This window comes from Homo sapiens, chromosome 15 (assembly GCF_000001405.40).
Source record: "Homo sapiens chromosome 15, GRCh38.p14 Primary Assembly".
NCBI lineage: Eukaryota > Metazoa > Chordata > Mammalia > Primates > Hominidae > Homo > Homo sapiens.
The window spans coordinates 76395433-76415548 of record NC_000015.10 but is presented as its reverse complement, the minus strand read 5'-3'; the positions used below and the strand labels follow the sequence as shown (position 1 = coordinate 76415548).

Sequence of the window (20116 nt, the reverse complement as noted above, 5' to 3'; positions counted from 1 at the left end):
AGATCTAGCTGATTCATTTTAACTGCTCTTCAGATTCTATTCTGTGAATAAATTCCCAAATTTATCCATTTTCCACCTCAGGGCAATAGTTTATTCCTTTTGACTATTTCAAGCAATGAGGTAGTAAAATGTCTTTATAAAAGTCTTTTTCTGTACTTGTACAGAGTTTCTCAAGGGTATATACCTAAAGGAGTAATTTATGGATGATATAATAAATGCATGTTCAACTTTTATCAGAAAATACTGTTAAATGTTTGCTGACAAAAATTTATACCAAATACCAAAAAAGTTGATACCTTAAAACCAAAATCTGACAAAGATATTCAACAATTTAACACCAAATTGTTCTTTAAAGTAATTGTACAAATTTTAGTTCCCATCATCAAAAAAACTGCAGTTTCCATTTCCCCATATCCTTGCTAGTGTTTTTGTCAGTCTGATAGCTATGCAATGTTTTGTTTTTGTCGTCTTCATTACACTGACTTTATCACTAGTGAGGTTGAGCATTGTTTGTCAGTCATTGTATGAGTCTGGATTTAGTTGTAGAAAATGAAGCCATTGTAGCTATTTTAAGCAGAAAAGGATATAAAACAGAATTAGGTGCTTACAAAATCATTGAAAGGACTGAAAGAGCAAATTCTATCAAATAAACTTAAGTAAACACATAAAGCTAATGACTATACTGAACAACATAATTCTATATTCTTAATATTTTTCCAGTTCTAACAATTAGCAAAATAGGAGTGTTAAAAATCTCCAACTGTGACTATGGATCTGTCTCCATTTAATTAGTATGATTTTGCTTCAAGTATTTTGAAACTCCGTTAGACTGTTATGTCTTTCAGATGGCCCTTTTATTATTATTCCTCTTTATTGGTGTTAAATACTCCTTGCTTTGAAGTCTAGTTTGTTTAATATTAATTTCTCACATAACTGTTTGGTCTTTTCCATGCTTGACAATTTTTTTTTTCCTTGAAGCACTTTAAAGATGTCATTCCATGGTCTTCTGGCTTCCATCGTTTCTTATAAAAAATCAGCCTTCATTTATGTCATTTTTCCCCTGTAGGTTGTGTCTTTTTTTTCCTCCAGCTGCATTCAAGATTTTTTATTTATATTTGAGTTTCAGCAGTTTGACATGATCAGCTTCAGTGTAGTTCTCATTGCACTTTTTCTGCTTGAGGTTTTCTGAGCTATTTGAACGGTAAATTGATGTTATTCCACCAAAACAGAAATCTACTTTCTTAAACTTTCCACAAAGAAAACTTTGGGTACAGATGGCTTTACTTCTAAATTCTACAAAGCACTTAAGGGAGAAATATGCCAATCATACACAAACTCTCTCAAGGGAGAGGAGGGAATACTTGCCAGCTTGTTTTATGATGCCAGTATAACCTTAATACCAAAATCTGACAAGGATATTCCAAAAAATAAAATTACAGATCAACATTCCTCGTGAACATAAATGTAGCAATTAAATTCAGCAATATATAAAAGGATCATGACGATATGAGATTTATTCTAGGAATGCAAGGTTAGTTTTAACATTTAGAAATTGCCATATTAACTTATCAAGAACCATGAAAGTTCATAGATTTTACCCTTTTTGCAGGCTAACAAGTTAGCCCACAGTTTCATGGATGCTGGCAAAAGATACAAGACTCCTAGTCAGAGACAAGGGACCTCATTACTCACAGACAGCAAGCAATTTGAACTTTATGTTCTCATCAGTTTTTCTTACCCCCAGGTCCCACGGAAACAACACAGGGTGGGCCCAGATGGATGTTGCATGTGCAGTGAGTTTACATCACAGCTGAGGAAACCCCCACAATCTTAGGAAACCCCAATCTTTAAAATGGGCTAAAAATAGACCTGTTCAACCTTTGCCTGGGAGATAGACACTATCTTTACTATACTGGACAGCCAACATAACTGACCTTTGCTCTAAAGGAAGACATCATCACCATTTTCCAAGACCATTCCCTATACAAACATTCTGGAAAACCTAGTCTAGAACAAAAGCTGTTAGTTCATCTGCTCACAAGACATGCAAAAATGTCAGACCTTTTGAGGATTATCTCCTGGCACTGACCTCAACAAAAGGAAACTAAGATCATCTTAGTAGATGCAGAAAAAATGAAACAAATGTAACACTACTTCATGATAATAAAATAAACAGCAAATTAGGAATAGACGGGAAAAACAGCTAAATCGTACATAATAATAAACACTTTTCCTTTAAGATTAGGAATACACAGACTGTTTACCCTCATCACTTCTATTCAGCATTGTATTGAAAGTTCTAGCTAGTTCAGTAAGAAGCAGAAAAAGAAAAGGCATAAAGTTTGTAAAGGACAAAATAAAACTATTATTATTTGCAGTCTCATGATTGCACGTATAGAAAACTATGTAATCTACCAAGAAAAAAATGATTATTTAATAGAACTGTTAAGTAAGATTTAAGCAAGGTTTGAATATACAAATATAACTTATGCAAAAATCAGTCATATCGCTATGTATAGCAACAAATAGAAATCAAGATTTAAAAAACAATACCATTTATAAAAAGCATCAGAAAATATCAAATACCTCTGAGTAAATCTCATGAAAGTAAAGCAACACCTCTACAAAGCATTACCGAGAGAAATTAAAGACCTAAATAAACGGAGATATATATAATATCCATGGATCAGAAGACTCAATATTGGTAAAACATTATTTTTCCCCAAATTAATTTATAGACTCTGTGCAATCCTAATCAAAATCCCAGCAGGCTTTAGAAATAAATTTACAAGTCAGCTCTGAGATTTCTATGGAAAAGTTAAGGCTCTAACACAGCCAAAACAATTTTGAAAAAGAATAATAAGTCAGAGGACTTGCCTGATTTGGGGACTTACTACAGAGTTATGCTAATCAAGACAGTCTGGTATTGGTATAAGATTGATCAATAGGTCAAAATGGAATTGAGGGCACAGAAATAGACCTACACAAATACGGTCCAATTATTTGGGGTGGGGGAGCTGATTAGGCTTTGAAAAAAAAATACACTATTTTTTAGAGCAGTTTTAAAAGTTAACAGCAATATTGAGTGGAAACTATAGAGTATTTCCATAAACCCCCTGGCCACACACATGTACAGCCTCCAGTAGGCCTCATTAGAGTGGTACATTTTTTACAGTCAGTGAACCTACATTGATGTCATTATCACCCTAAAGTCCATAGTTTACATTAAGGTTAACTCTTGGTGTTAAATATCTTACGGATTTTGACAAATGTATAATGCCATGTACTCATCAGTACAGTATCATATAACCCCATCTATCATTCCTCCTTCCCCCACAACCTCTAGCAACCTCTCGTCAGTTGATTTCTGATCAAGGGATCAGATTAATTTAATAGGGAAAGGAAAGTTATTTTAATGAATGGTGCTAGAACAACTGGATATCCATATGGAAGAAAAGTAACCTCTTGTTATATACAAAATTAATTTGAGATGGATCACAGATCTAAACACAAAAGTTGTGACCATAAGACTTCTAGCAGAAAATATGGGACTATATATATCTTTGCGGTCATGGAATGGGGGAAAGATTTATTTGGATACAAATATGCAAATAACCGTTTAACACATGGAAAGATACACAAATAACTACTTAGCACATGGAAGTGTGTTCAGTATGTTAGTTATCAGGGAAATGCAAAATAAAATCATACCAAGGTACTGTTTCAAATCCAATAAAACGGCTAAAATAAAAAAGATTGATGATACCAGATGTTGGTAAGGATATAGAACAACTGGAGATCTAATACATTGTTTCTGGGAGAATGAAATGAAATGACCACTTTGAAGAACTCTATAAATTTGTAAATTTAAACACATCTATTCTATGACTCAACAATTCTACTCTTAGGTATTTACCCAATAGAAATGAAAACACATGTTCACAAAAAGACTTTCCCATGGATTTTCATAGCAGTCTTATTTATGATAACCAAAAACTGTAAATAACATATACATCCATCAACAAGAGAAGGAACAAACAAATCATAGCATACAGGTTGAGTATGCCTTATCTGAAATGCTTGAGACCAGAGTGTTTTGGATTTTGGATTTGGGCGGGGAAGGGATTTTTGAGTATTTGCATTATACTTGCCAGTTGAACATCCCAAATCTGAAAATCCAAAATCTGAAATGCTCCAGTGGGCATTTCTCTTGAGCATCATGTTGATACTCAGAAAGTTTTGGGTTTGGGAGGATTTTGTATTTTCAGGTTGGGCATGCTCAACCTGTATTCATACAGTGGGATACTAATCAACAATATAAAGAAAGGAATTATTGTCCCATGCACCAACATGAATAAATCTCAAAAACATCATGTTTAGCCAGGGACAGATATAAAAGAGAACATTTTGAATGATTTCCTTTATATGGAGATAGGAAAGGATTGGATAGAAAACAAGGGATCTTTCTGTGATGATGAGTATGTTCTATATCTTGTTTTTATGGATGGTTATGTAGATTTATATGGTCTTCAAAACTTGTCAAACCAAACACTTAAGTTTTGTGCATTTATTATTTGGAATATATCTCAAGAGAAAGCAGTTGATTATTAATCACAGTGACAGCAGAGAGAAAGGACAAAGGTTATCACAAATGTGATTAGCAAGAAGACAAGAGATGTGAAGGATAGACAATAGAATTAAAATGTTGAATAATTGATCTTCTCAAATAAGGTAACAGGAGAAGTACAACAGAAAAAAAAAAAAGCAAGAATAGAACACTTCTAAACTGAAGGAAGACATTCATTAGCCATATATGAAGGAATCAACTTTACTAGTGGGGTAGATATAAAGAGGCTGAGACTCAGGTCAGGCCTTGTTTCTAATATCCCACAGTAACTTAGCCTGATAGGATGTGACCTTGACCAAACTATAGCAATAACAATTAGAGTGGAAGCAAGAAGGATTTAGGACTATTTTAGAGGTAGAATTAGCTTCTATCTACCTCAGCCTTGGGCCTTGTCTACCTGATGAATTCATTTAAAAATATGAAGATGCCACCTCTTTTGAGAAGCTAGCCCTGGCCCATTAAGCCAAAATTTGGCACTTCTGCTATATAGTAGTAATACTTTGAACATACCTCTATTATAGAATTAATCATAGTAATGTAGAAATTATGTGTCAGCTACAATGTTAAGAGGTCCTTAAGGTTAGCATCAGCATCATACTTAGAAATAATTGAGTGGATGAATGCATGATTACAAACGGTTATCTTAAAATTTCTTGCATTACTGTGAGATGAATAATGACATTCATTTGGACAAGAATAGTGGGAGAAGGAGATTTCAGAAGAGATAATGAGGTTTTATTTGAACATACAAATATAGGGGTGCCCTGGGACCCCCAAGGGAAAATATTCATAAACTAGTACTTTAAGAAAGAAGTTCAGAAAAGAAGTAGGCCGGATGCCATGGCTCATGCCTATAATCCCAGCACTTTGGGAGGCTGAGGAGGGCAGCTCGCTTGAGTCCAGGAGTTCACAACCAGACTAGGCAACAAGGCAAAACCCTGTCTCTACCAAAAAAAAAAAAAAAAAATTAGCCAGGCCTGATGGCATGCACCTGTAGTCTCAGCTACTCAGGAGGCTGAGGTGGGAGGACCCTTGAGTCCAGCAGTGAGCCATGATTGCATCACTATACTCCAGCCTGGGCAGCAGAGTGAGACCCTGTCTCTAAAAGAAAAACAAAAGTAGGCCTTGAGATAGAATTGGGAATTATTATTAACATATCGAGGATAGTTGAAACCATGGAATTGCATGACTTTACTAAATTTAGTTCAGGGATAGAACCCTAATAAGCAACAATTTGGTTGGAATGTGAGAGTGGATAGGTAGACAAGGATGGACAAAGAAACAATAACTCATTTTAGTTTTTTTTTTTAATAGATTCGGGGGTACATAATACATGGATATATTACCTAATGGTGAAGTTTGGGCTTGTAGTGAATCCGTCACCCAAATAGTGAACATCGTATACACACACACACACACACATAATGTATATGTTTCTAAATATCCCTTTCTGTTTGTAAAGTCCAATGACAGAAAGCTGCAAAGGGACTCATTTTAAATTTCAAATGGCAAAGCAAATGGAGAGACCCATTTATTTATCATTTACAGCAGCATGTTTCTTTCCCAGGATGTGTGTTCCAAGAAGACTAGGAAGTTTTCTGTATTAAAGCTTTTCATCCTGGGTGTGGTAATAGCCTCAACATTATAATTTCAACCTAACAGTTACAATGCAAAAGATATGTTGCTTTTGACCCCAGTGTTCATTAGAAAGTTCCATATTCTTCCCTCAAAACAATGAGATTGACAAAATGAATTTCTCTACACTGACCTTTTAGAGCCATTTAGTTTAAGCATCTTCTTAGCCAGTCATTTAAAGATTGTCCATGCAGTCAAGACATAGGCAATTTAGAAAAACATTAGACTGACTCATTAGTAGGCACTGTAGATGGCCCAGTAACCTATAGGAGACGATACTCAGAAAGGACCAACCACTCAACAAGTGGTTGTTTCAGTTTGCCTTGGCTTTACAATGCTTTTTATCTCTTTGCTCATTTTGTAGTCTTTCTTCCTTTCTGGCTGTTTCAAGGATGGTACCGGAAACCTAGCTAAGCCATTTTCATCTTGAGACTACATGGTTTTGAAGTTTTGTGTGATCACTTTAGACCTCAGTAAGGACCCAAAAAATGCCACAGAAAAGCAGTGAATTCAGTGCAAAGGACCCTCTTATCAGGAGTCAGAAAACCATAGAATGTTCCAGCCGTCTTTGCTTGAGCTTGTGCGTTGCCTTCCTTGAGCATCAGTCTCCTTGTCTATCAAATGGGGATAGTCATACCAACCCCCACATAGTGAACTGGGTTTTCTCGTACCTTGCTCGTGAGACTATAAATTTATTTAATGTTTCTTGAATATAACGTGGCTATGTATATCAAGAGCCCTAAAAATATGCATACCCTTTGACTCAGTAATTCCACTTGTGGAAAATAGTCTGAAATCTGGCAAGGTTTTCTACTCAAAATGTTTGGCACAGCATGGTTTATAATAAGGAATATTGAAAACAACCAAAAGTTGCAAAAACATTCCACTGGTAGAATATTATTCAATCATTAAAAATGATGTTTATGTATCCAGTCAGACCTCTAGAACCTAGATCATTTTACAGGAAATAAATAGTTCCAAAAAATGTTATGTGACACCACAGGGATATAATCAGCAAAATTCAACTTGTGGGAAAGCGTATAGGATAAACAACCAGGTTTCATCAACAAATACATACATTTTCAAAGGGGGTTTTAAAAGATGGAGGGTAGCTAACAGATTAAAAAGAGACTTAAGTCATATTAACCAGTCACAATGTGTGGTTCTTGTTTGGATTCTAATTTTAAAAAAAACTATTTAAAATATTAAGGCATTTATGGTACATTTAGAAATTTGAACACCAGTTATTTGATGATATTAAGAAATGGTGATTTTTAGATGTGATAATGATGTTGTGGTTTTGTTTTTTTTAAGTGATTTTTTTTAGAGATAGAAATGGAAACATTTACAAATGAAATAATATGCCTTGGATTTGCTTAAACTTTATGCAGGATGGGTGTGGACAGATAGGATTGGCCATGGGTTGATGGTAGTAAGGGCTGTGTGATGAATGCATGGGTATTTGTTATCCTATTCTGTCAATAAAGATTTAAAATATAATGCTTAACCAAGATGTTTTCATGACATAGAAGGGGCCTAAATAGTCATTGAATGAAATTCGGTATAATGTCAATCATGTGGAGAAAGAATCAAATAGAAAAACATGAAAGGAAAATTATCAAACTGTGATTGTCTTTAAAAGGTGAAATTATGGCTAACTTTTTCTACTGATTTTTCTGCTTTTCTTTACTATATAAATTTCTATAATGAGCCTATATTACCACTATAATCAGAAAAAAACAAGTTTTCACTCTGGTTAGAACTCTTTTAGAACCTTAGCTTGAAACAACGTAAGTAAAACAGAATAGTAAAATGGCTTGTGTACCTGGGAAGGTCAAGGTTTGAACTAGATGCCAAGGCTCTGAGTATAGTAATGCACTGCATAATGACTTTTTAGTCAACAACAGACCACATATACAATGGCGGTCCTGTAAGATTACAATACTATATTTTTACTGTACCCTTTCTATGGTTAGATACACAAATAATTACCATTGTGTTACAGTTGCCTGCATTGTTCCCTGCAGTAACATACTGTATATGTTTGTAGCCTGGGAACAATAGGCTATCCCATATAGCCTAGGTTAGGCTATACTATCTAAGTTTGTGTAAGTACACTCTATGATGTTTGCACAATGACAAAGTTGCCTAATGATGCAGTTCTCAGAATGCGTCCCCATATGCCATTACAGCTTTGTTTCTTTCTTTCAATTCTACTTATCTCTACTTGGCTTTATTCTCTAAGCAGATGTTCTCCATGTAACAAGTTGACTACCAGCACCCCCAGAGTTACATATTTTAGTTTAGATATCCCCAGTGGAAAGATATTTTTCCTATGGTCATATATTAATCCCACAGAAGATGTTGAGTGGTCCTCCCTAGGTCATATACTCATCCTGGAACCAGTCATTATGGCCAAGATGATGAGTACTTTGACTGTCCTGAAGCACATGCTCACTCCTGCATTAGCAAGCAGGTAGCATCTTTAACAATGCCCCCAGGACCATATGAAATAGGAGAGGAGAATGTGCTGGGCAGATAAAAACAAAAGCTTTTACAGTCTGCTCCCTAATGGTGTTCTTGGGATAATTCATTGGGATGATTAAGATAAAACACTTTCTTTTATTTTGTTTGCTAGTGTGTGTGTGTGTGTGTGTGTGTGTGTGTGTGTAGACAGGGTCTCACTATGTTGCCCAGGCCAGTCTCAAACTTCTGGGCTCAAGCAATCCTCCTGCCTCAGCCTCCCAAAGTGTGGGGATTACAAGCGTAAGCTACTTTACCCAGTCAAAACACTTGATTTTTTTTTCTTGAGATGGAGTCTCACTTTGTTGCCCAGGCTGGAGTACAATGGCATGATCTTGGCTTACTGCAACTTCGACTTCCCGGGTTCAAGCGATTCTCCTGCCTCAGCCTCCTAAGTAACTGGGACTACAGGTTCCAGCCACCATGCCTGGCTAATTTTTGTATTTTTAGTAGAGACAGGGTTTCACCATATTGGCCAGGCTGGTCTGGAACTCCTGACCTCAAGTGATCCACCTGCCTCAGCCTCCTAAAGTCCTGGGATTACAGGTGTGATCCACCGTGTCTGGCTACAGACAAAACACTTTCTAAATTGAAGAGTTCTGTGCAAATGTAAAAGCCAGTTTTTAAAAGTCTAATTTTGTTCAATCAGATTGTAATAAGATTCTCAGTGTGTACATATATCAGTCTATCAATTTCCTTTACTAGAAGAGGTCTGGTGGTCGTCATTTCATACTTCCCAATTTTAAAACTGTAGGAGTGCTCAGTAGCCCAGGTAGATACATAGTCTAATGTAAAAGATGAAAGGAGGCACTATTTTGTACCTTCAACATAGTAAACTTGGAATGGCTCCAGACATGAATTATTCATCAGTTTATCCTTCCTTTTACAAAAACCTGTGTTGGTAAATGAATAGTGGGGACTGTAGTGCACTTACACACCAAAACCTCAATTCCTTTGTGTATATCTCTGAAAGTTAACATGTTGATTTGCAGAACTGCTATATTTGCAGTCCTACCCTTCTCATACATGTCAGTGCAGTAGCATTGAATTTCTAGGCCAAGGTTGATTTATCTACAAGGTCTTTTATAGTTTTAAAATATTCTTTTCAATGATTGCTGCTCTGTGGATTAATAAAAGAGTTACTGTTGTCAGTCCAGTTTACAAACAGCTCTAGAAAACTGTTTTGTACTGAAAAGATGGAAATGATTTCTTAAATGTTGTTGTCAACCCTCAGGACTGGTACTTTTCAGTAAAAGCAATTAGATTCTCACTGTTTGTTATGCTGTTAATGGTGACAGAGTCTTTAAAAACAGAGAACCTACAACTGGCTTTAGAAGTTTAAGTTGTAGCCAGGCATGGTGGCCCATGCCTGTAATTGTAGCACTTTAGGAGGCCGAGGCAGGAGGATCGCATCAGGCCAGAAGTTCAAGAAGAGCCTGGGCAGCTATAGCAAAACCCCATTTCTACAAATAAAAAAAAAAAATTAACTGCACATGGTGGTACACGCATGTAGTCCCAACTACTTGCGAGACTGAGGCAGGAGGATCTCTTGAGCCCAGTAGGTTAGAGTTGTAGTGAGCTATGATCATGTCTCTGCACTCCAGCCAGGTGACAGAGTGAGACGCTGTCTCTAAAAAAAAAAAAAAAAAAAAAAGTGTAAGTTGTAACAAGAGTGTCTGAGTTGAATCATTGTACTGTATCTTCTAAATCCTTGCATTGGGGCTACCTAGTACTTTAAAAAGGAACAGTTTTTAAGAGCATAAAGGTCATTATAAATCATTTCACTTGTTGTTAGACTCTTTAGACCAGTAAGAATGACTAGATAATCATTGTCATTCATTTTTTTCTTGAAAAATAATATTCAAATAACCAAAAGAAAGAAGAGAGAAAAAAATACTTACAGAAAGAGCTGATTATTCAGGAGTAAATCTAAGGAAATTGTTACTTGAGATGCTTTACTCAAACTTGTGTTGTGTCTGCATGTTTGAGGGGTCCAAGCCTGTGTATGGTAGCATTTATCATTGAAGGTGAAGATGTTGCTGGCCTATTCAGATTGATAACATGCATTTCTCCCCCATATCTAGCTACGTGGTGAACATGGGTCTGATTGACAAACTGTGTGCCTGCTTCCTCTCGGTGCAAGGCCCAGTGGATGAGAATCCCAAGATGGCCATATTTCTGCAGCATGCCGCAGGACTCTTACATGCAATGTGTACACTGTGCTTTGCTGTCACTGGAAGGTAAGGCATCTACTTGATCTCAATCTAGACTCAACTTTTGGAACATCTCTTGAATTTTGCCCATTCTAGGGTCATTTCATAGGAATTCAAGTGGTCATCTTGGCCATCTTTCCTCTTTGTTCTTTCCCCATCATTGGCTTTCTATATTGAGATGTATATTAATTTCTCATTTTTCTGGGCCACACACTCTCACCAGTCTTTTTTTCTTGTTGGTGTCATAAATTTGACTGTCATTGCTAGAAGAGACCTAAGAGGTCATCCAGTCCCTCTTCCACTGAGATCCAGAGGAGTCCAGTGATTCTCCTTCAGTCATCGAAGGAAACAAAGCCTAGACCAGACCAAGCCAAGCCGTCAGCCCTACACAGTACAGCCTGAAAGTGCTCATTACCGTCATTCATGTGCTTTCAGTTATAGGCTGCTAGGTTTATTTTCCCTCTGTCCCTTCTTCCAGAGTACTTCCATGAATAAGGGAAGGGAGCCATCTAAAACAATAGGTCCCTGAAGTCACACGTGACCCATGGGCATAGTGAAAGCCAGTGTGCCAGGGACTACTACTGGCCTGGTTGGCTGTTTAGACTACCCTACCCCATCCTACTCCATCCTACCCCATCCCACCCTGCGGACTGTCCTCAAAAACAATAATTCTCTAGGAAGGACACAAGTAACCCTCTGGGTCTTCTTGTCTTCTCCCCAACCCATCCCTCACCAAGTAAGAATCGTTGATAATAGTGCCTCCATTTTTCTGATAGGAATATGACATATCCCTTAGGCATATCGAGGATGTTCAATCAAATAATTTTCTTATAATTAATTCTAAACAGCACATATGTATTACCTATTTTTTAATTATGTGTTTTGTATTTTTAGGAATTTGTCCAGTCTAAGCTTCTAAAGTCTAGCTTCTTAAGGAAATATTATCCATCTATATTCAGTGTTCACAGAATACCAGTGACTATATTCAGAACATTTTAAGAGGGGGAAACTATATTCTAAAATGAACATCCTCAACATTTTTTAGTTCATTATACATAGGACCCCTAAGCCCACCTATCCTTCCTTACTCTTACCCAGTCCCTCACCACCAGTCACGTTCTAATAAAATTAAGACTGTCTAGAGAAGTCAGGGAAGCCAAGCATGCCTGTGTTCAGTGTTTCAAGTTAGTCTCTTCCCATCAAGAAATGTAGACCAAGCCTACCTTCAGTGAGAGCTCAGGAAGTGACTTTTTGTAGGTCTGTGACCTACGTAGGATCAGGTAGTACCATAGTACACAGAGGTTGGCATACCAAACACTGTCCATCTGGAACAGTGGCACCTGCCAGCTTGGAGGCCACCATGCTGCCCAGCTAGTTCCTGTGCATTGGCCAGGCCCCTCCATGGAGGTGTCCTCTCAGGCAGGAGACCTGTGCTGACCCTCTCTCTTTTTGAACACAGTTTCCCTGTGTTCATTACATTACAAACCTGCCAGCATCTCAAGTCTGTGTCACCTGTATTTTCTCGAATCCAGATCAATATCACAAATATAAGCATTTCCGTATGTGATTGTTTTACAGTCTGTGGGCTTCAGCTGTCACTTACACGCAGATTCAGTCACTTAAAATCTATGGAATTTAAAAGAAACCTAAGGGTCATTCACCGTCACTTGTTTTTTGTAGGAAAAACAACTGAGCCAAACTGACTTGAATGAGGTCCTGAGATTTCTAGCTTGATACTCCTTCTGCTTGACTTTATATTATTCAGGATGTAGAAGCATATATTTCATTTCTTTGAAAATTTTCTCAATTACATATGGAACATGGAAACAGGATCTTCTCTTTAATGCACACAGTCATGCTCTTGTCCTGAAGACATTGAGCATCTGTCCTGTGCCAAACACCAAGTTAGGTAGGTACTAAAGATACTGCCCTCAGGGAGCCAAGAGTCTAGTGTGGGGTCAGACTTATAAAGTAATAGTTATAGCAGAAGAGAATTTGCACAGAAAAGGAAGTAAAGCACTTACAGAGGAGGTCAAAAAAGGCTTCCATAGGCAGAATCCAAGACAAGTGGAAGGAAAAAAATCAGTTGAGAAAAACGGTATGATATGTACATTATGTGGTATACCAGATGTTATTGGTGCCTTTGGTTCACGTGGTCATCTGCCAATGGCTTTCTGTATTTCTCTGCCTCAGGACGTTCTCTGGACAAGGAGCTATTTGCTAGAGTGCAGAGGAGTTTAACACCTCCAGTAGTGGCGTTAATAAATTGGTAGATAATACAAACAATAAATTGGTAGATAATACCCCCACTTCCCTAATGTTCAGTAGTACAATTCTGAGTATATTCTGTACAGTTCTCACAGGATCCTAAGCCCTAACCTGTTTTTTGTTTGTTTGTTTGTTTGTTTTGTTTTGTTTTTGAGACTGAATCTTACTCACTCTGTCGCCCAGGCTGGAGTACAGAGGCACTATCTCAGCTCACTGCAACCTCTGCCTTCCATGTTCAAGCGATTCTCCTGCCTCAGCCAGCTGAGTAGCTTGGATTACAGGCACAGGCCACCACTCCTGGCTAATTTTTGTATTTTTAGTAGAGATGGGGTTTCACCATGTTGGCCAGTCTGGTCTCGAACTCCTGACCTCAAGTGCTCCACTCACCTCAGCCTCCCAAAGTGCTGGGCGCGCCTGGCCCGTAACCTGTTCTTTAACACATCCTTGATTGAGTTTTCTCCCTTCCCTGTTTCTCTTCTCTACATCCTCACAAATAATCTATTTGCACCCATATTATTTTTTCAGGGTCTGCTTTTAGGGCAGCCCAAACCAAGAGATACGGACATACAAGAGTTAGCGTCATGTTTAGTTTGATGTAGCTGTGCAATTGGGTAAATGTGGAGAGCAGCAGGAGATGAGGTATTAAATGAGCTCCATAAATGTTAGTTCTTGGGAGGTGCAAAGGGCTACAAGAGCTAGACTAGAGCTGTCAAAGGCTGCTAAAGTTGCTTGAGAGGGAGGACAGGATCAAATTTCTGTTACAGAATGATCACTCCTAAGAAGCACAGAGATGACTGGAATGGCACAAGCCTAGAGGCAGAAGGATTAGTAAAGAAGCTCTTGCATAATCCAACTGAGACATGTTGAGGGCCAGTAAGGTCAATGAAAATAGAGATGAGCAAATACATTACGAGGGAGTAGAACAAATGTAGGGGAGATGGCATAGGGTTTCATGATGTGGGGGGTGAAAGGAAGGGAAGCATCTAGAATGACTCCCAGGTTTCTGACTATAAAATTTTGAATGGTAGATAGCACAGTCTTCAAATTAGGAAATATAAACAGTTCTTCAGAGTGGAAATATGAGTTTGGTCCTAGACATGCCTAAGGGTTGTTATATATGATATAAGATTATCATATACATATACATATCATATACATATACATATATGTGTAAACTTTGGTCTACTTGGATAATCTTCAGGCATGCCTAGGACCAAACTTATATTTCCACTAAGAAAAACTGCTTATATTCTCAAACTTGGAAACTATACTGTCTACCACTCAAAATTTTATATTTATTATATATTTATACATCTGATAAATTACATGTTTACACATCTGATACATTTTATTTAAAATTTTTAATTACTATATAATTTATTTTATTATGTATATGAAATATAATTCCTTCTGTGTACACATACAACTGGATTTTAAACAGTGATTTACTCTTGATGGTTTTTAAGAATTCTTAATCTATTTATCTCCATTATAATTTCCTTCTCTAACCTCAATTGCTTAGCAAACTTCTGTTAGTAGGACTTACTACAAAAACAGATTATTCTAGAAAGAAGGTCCAGGTGGTTTCCTGGCTTAATTTACCTAGGAAATTATTTGCAGTATCAGTGTAAGCTACTTCTCTGAAAGAGCTGAGAAAAATGACCCCTTATTGTTGTTCTTCCTCTCATCCTTCAGTCTCCCAACATTTCCTGAACACCACCAGACCACAGGAATACAGGGAGTTTTTTCTACCTCCTCAGATTCATTTACTTCTGATATTTACAGATTGTTTTCTCCTGCTTATTTCTTCATGAAAATTATATTTCTAAGCTATAAATGACAGTGACAAGCATTTTGTTGCATGCATTAAATAGAGTTTCTGCTATAGGTCATAGCCATGTCTAAGAGGAAAGGTAGTGTGGTTTTTGCTTTATTGGAGTAATTCACATAATGTCTATTTTGGCTACCAGAAGCTAGCCAGAACCAGAGTCAAGGAAGGCTTTGTCCTCCTAGCCCTTTTGTGACAGGAATGAAAGAGGAAGAGGAGCTAGAGAGGGCTTCAAAAATTGCCTCTTGTGATGGCAGAGCCTGAGATAATTAAGGGGACTAATTGATATCTCCAGGCTTTGAGTAAACACTGCAGTCTGCTGGTGGCCCAGCCTTTGTGATGGTGATTACCGCTAGTCTGCCTTTGCACTACTCTCCTATTGTGCCCTTAATCTTCTAATTTTTACCTAGGTTTTCTTTTCTTTTCTTTTCTCTTTTTTTTTTTTTTTTTGAGACGGAGTCTCGCTCTGTCGCCCAGGCTGGAGTGCAGTGGCGCCATCTCGGCTCACTGTAACCTCTGCTTCCTGGGTTCAAGTTATTCTCCTGCCTCAGCCTCCCGAATAGCTGGGATTACAGGCGCTTGCCACCATGCCTGGCTAATTTTTGTATTTTTAGTAGAGATGGAGTTTCACCATGTTGGCCAGGCTGGTCTCAAACTCCTGACCTCAGATGATCCACCTACCTCAGCCTCCCAAAGTGTTAGGATTATAGGCCTGAGCCACCTTACTCAGCCAAATTTTTACCTAGGTTTTCCGAAACACGATTTGGATGTCAGAATTTGTGCTGTTAGTCTTTGTTTCAACTTGGGATAGAAAAGCAATAGCTGATGACTTGTACCAGGCTTAGTTTTGAACAATGAACTTGCATTTCTTTAAGTAAAAATTGAAATCGTGATCCTCTGATGAAAGGATTGATTTTATGTCAGAATTGCTTCAGAATTTTAATATTGTTAACAAATGATTCTTAATCACTTCAGCAAAATTCAATAGTCTGTAATGGGACTCTCAGAAATGCCTATTTCTGGCCAGGTGTGGTGGCTCAGGTAATCCCAGCACTTTGGGAGGCCAAGGCAGGTGGATCACCTGAGGTCAGAAGTTCAAGACGAGACTGGCCAACATGGTGAAACCCCATCTCTACTAAAAATACAAAAATTAGCTGAGAGTGGTGGCAGGCACCTGTAATCCCAGCTGTTTGGGAGGCTGAGGCAGGAGAATTGCTTGAACCCAGGAGGCGGAGGTTGCAGCGAGCCGAGATGGCACCACTGCACTCCAGCCTGGGTAACAGTGTGAGACTCCATCTCAAAAAAAATGAAATGCCTATTTCTTTGGCCTTTACTGTTAACAGTTTTCTATTCTTGGTCCTACAAGTAAAGAGAAAACAATGGTTTTCAAATCTCAGGGCAGGAGCTCAATTGCTGTAATTGGTTGAGGCTCATTGGGTCCCCCTTAAGGTGCTGACTCCTTAGCAGAACTAATAGGATCAGCATAATAATGAGTGATTATAAATTGAAACCAACATGGGCTGTTAACTTAATCAGTAATCATTTACAGTATTCCTAACTGTGCTAGGCACTATGGCAACAAAGCCAGGAAGCAGTGGACCCACAGTAAAAGAGTTTGCAATCCTTACAACTACACTGAAGAGAGGAACTTATAAAACCTGGATAATTCTGATTGGTTGGAAAAGACTTGTGAATTCAAGAATATTTGTATACAAAAACAAGTTTGATGTTATATATATTTGTGTTTTTCATTTTCACATCCATAGATGACAATAACAAAATGTGTTCTAGCCAAAGTTCTGGAAACCTGTGTCATGAAAAGATAAGAATGATTTGTGATTTAGTCTATTTATTATGTGGCTATAAATGAGTGCTTTTCAAGTGTTTAAGGGTGCTTGAAAACCATTTGTTCAAGCAAAGGTAAATGTTAACTCTGCCCGCCTGCCTATTCATTCATTGAACAAATATTTATGTAGCACTTGCTCTGTGCCAGGCCCTGTGCTAGGATTGGGAGAAAGCAGTAATGGCTAAGACATCAATTTTGTCTAAGGACTCTGTAAGCTTGTAGGGGGAAAAAGATGCCTATACAACTATCTACAGTACAAGACAGAGAGTGATCAAGAGGACAGAAGATAACAAAAGCACTTAACATGCTGCCTGGTACATAGTAAATGCTTCATAAATGTTGGCCACTATTATCACCATTGTCATTGATGGAGTTCAGAGGAGGGAGAAATGACGGTTACTTGTCTGTGGGGATTAGCTGTTTTTTAGAGCAGCTAAAATTTAACATGGCCCTTGAAAGATGGAAAAGATTAGAACATGTAGAGTTGAGAAAAAGGTGGACCAAGAAAATAGCATAAGCAAAGACATAAAGGAGAAAAATACAAAGAATAGAGTACCTTAACTGAACTTTGAGATATATATGGTGGTATTTTAATGCTTGCAGATCCTTATGAGGCTCAAATGAGATCGTAAATATAAAAAGACTTTGTGAACTACATAAAATAATTTGCTGAGATGTGGTAACGGCAATAGCGTCATTAAAACCTTTTTACTAGAGGAAATGGATAAGTTTTGAGACACATGCAACCTACCAAGATTCAAACATGAAGAAATCCAAAACCAAAACAGACCATTAGCAAGTGATGAGATTGAAGCTATAATAAAAGTCTCCTGACCGGGCGCGGTGGCTCACACCTGTAATCCCAGCACTTTGGGAGGCCAAGGCGGGCGGATCACCTGAGGTCAGGAGTTCAAGACCAGCCTCAACATGTAGAAACCCCGTCTCTACTAAAAATACAAAATTATCTGGGCGTGGTGGTGCATGCCTATAATCCCAGCTACTGGGGAGGCTGAGGCAGGAGAATTGCTTGAACCTGGGAGGTGGAGGTTGCGGTGAGCCAAGATCACGCCACTGCACTCCAGCCTGGGCAACAAGAGTGAAACTCCGTCTCAAAAAAAAAAAAAAAAAAAAAAAGTCTGCCAATAAAGAAAAGCCCAGGACCAGAGGGCTTCACTGATGAATTCTACCAAACATTTAAAGAACAACTAATACTAATCCTACTCAAACTATTCCAAAAAATAGAGGAGGAGGGAATGCTTCCAAACTCTTTCTACAAGGCCAGTATTTATTACTCTGATGTCAAAATCAGAGAAACATGGAAAAAAGAAAACTAAAGACCAGTATCCCTGATGAATATTAATGCAGAAATCCTCAACAAAATACTAGCAAACCAAATTCAGCAAAAAAGATCATTCATTATGATCAAGTGGGATTTATCCCAGGAATGTCAGGATGGTTCATCATATGCAAATTAGTCAGTGTGATACATCATTATCAACAGAATGAAGGACAAAAACTAAATGATCATTTCAGGACATGCTGAAAAAGCATTTGATGAAATTCAACATCACTTCATGATTTAAAAAAAAAAAAAAAAAAAACTCTCAAAAAATTGGGTTGAGAAGAAACATACCTCAACAGAATAAAAGCCATGTATGACAGACCCACAGCTAGTATCATACTGAATGAGGAAAAATGGAAAGCCTTTCCTCTAAGATCTGGAACACAACAAGGATGACCACTTTCACCACTGTTACTCAACATCATACTAGAAATCCTAGCTAGAGCAATCAGACAGAAGAAAGAAAAGGCATCTGAATCAGAAAGGAAGAAGTCAAATTATCCTTTTTTACAGATGATATGATCTCATATTTGGAAAAACCTAAAGACTCCATCAAAAAGCTATTAGAACCGATAAACCAATTCAGTAAAGTTGCAGGATACAAAATCAATGTCCAGAAATCAGTAGCATTTCTATATGCCAACAACAAACAATCTTGAAATCAAAAAAAGTAATCCCATTTACAAGAGCCACAAATAAAGTTAAATATGTAGAAATTAACCAAAGAAGTGAAAGATTTCTACAATGAAAACTATAAAACATTGATGAAAGAAATTAAAGAAGACATAATAAATAGAAAACTGTTTCATGTTCATGGATTGGAAGCAGCAATATTGTTAAAAATGTCCATACTACCCTAAGCAATCGTCAGAGTCCATGCAATCCTTATCAAAACATTGATGACATTCTTCACAGAAGTAGAAAAAACAATCCTAAAATGTATATAGAATCACAAAAGACCCAGAATAGCCAAAGCTATCCTAAGGGAAAAGAACAAAACTGGAAGAATCACATTACTTGACTTTATAATACAAAGCTGTAATAATCAAAACAGCATGGTACTGGCATAAAAACAGACACATGGACCAATGGAGCAGAATAGAGAACCCAGAAACAAATTCATCTACAGTGAACTCATTTTTGACAAAGGTGCCAAGAGCATAAATTAGGGAAGAGTCTCTTCAATAAATGATGCTGGGAAAACTGGATATCCATATGCAGAAGAATGAAACTAGACCCCTGTCTCTCACCATATACAGAAATCGAAATGGATTAAAGACTTTAAGACCTCAAAACTATGAAACTACTACAAGAAAACATTGGGGAAACTCTTAAGGACATTGTACTGGGCAAAAATTTCTTGAATAGTACCCTGCAAGCACAGGCAACCGAAGCAAAAATGGATAAATGGGATCACATCAAGTTAAGCTCCTGCACAGCAAAGGAAACAATCAATCAAGTGAAGAGACAATCCACAGAAGAGAGAAAATATTTGCAAAGTACCCATCTGACAAGGGATTAACAACTAGAATATATAAGAATTCAAACAACTCTATAGGAAAAACTCTAATAATCCAATTTTTAAATGGGCGAAAGATCTGAAGAGACATTTCTCAAAAGAAGACATACAAATGGCAAACAGGCATATGAAAAGGTGCTCAACATCATTGATCATCAGAGAAATGCAAATCAAAACTACAAAGAGATATCATCTCATCCCAGTTAAAATGTCTTTTATCTAAAAGACATTCAATAACAAATGCTGGCAAGGATGTGGAGAAAAGGGAACCCTCATACGCTGTTGGTGGGAATGCAAATTAATACAACCACTATG

General features: G+C 37.5%; 1 protein-coding gene across 19 annotated transcripts in view; it reads left to right on the top strand.

Moving 5' to 3' along the window:
- Nucleotides 1–20116, top strand: part of SCAPER (S-phase cyclin A associated protein in the ER) — a 557437-nt gene that overhangs the window by 489792 nt on the left and 47529 nt on the right. For 16 of the 19 annotated variants that reach the window (NR_148227.2, XM_017022273.2, XM_011521653.4 and 13 more), the window contains one exon: nucleotides 10870–11025. The exons of the other annotated variants lie outside the window; for them this stretch is intronic. Coding sequence is in view for 15 of the 16 variants with exons in the window: in XM_017022273.2 (XP_016877762.1) it covers nucleotides 10870–11025 (156 nt within the window). In the remaining variant the exon portion in view is untranslated. The remainder of the gene's footprint in view (nucleotides 1–10869; nucleotides 11026–20116) is intronic. 19 annotated transcript variants of the gene reach the window in all.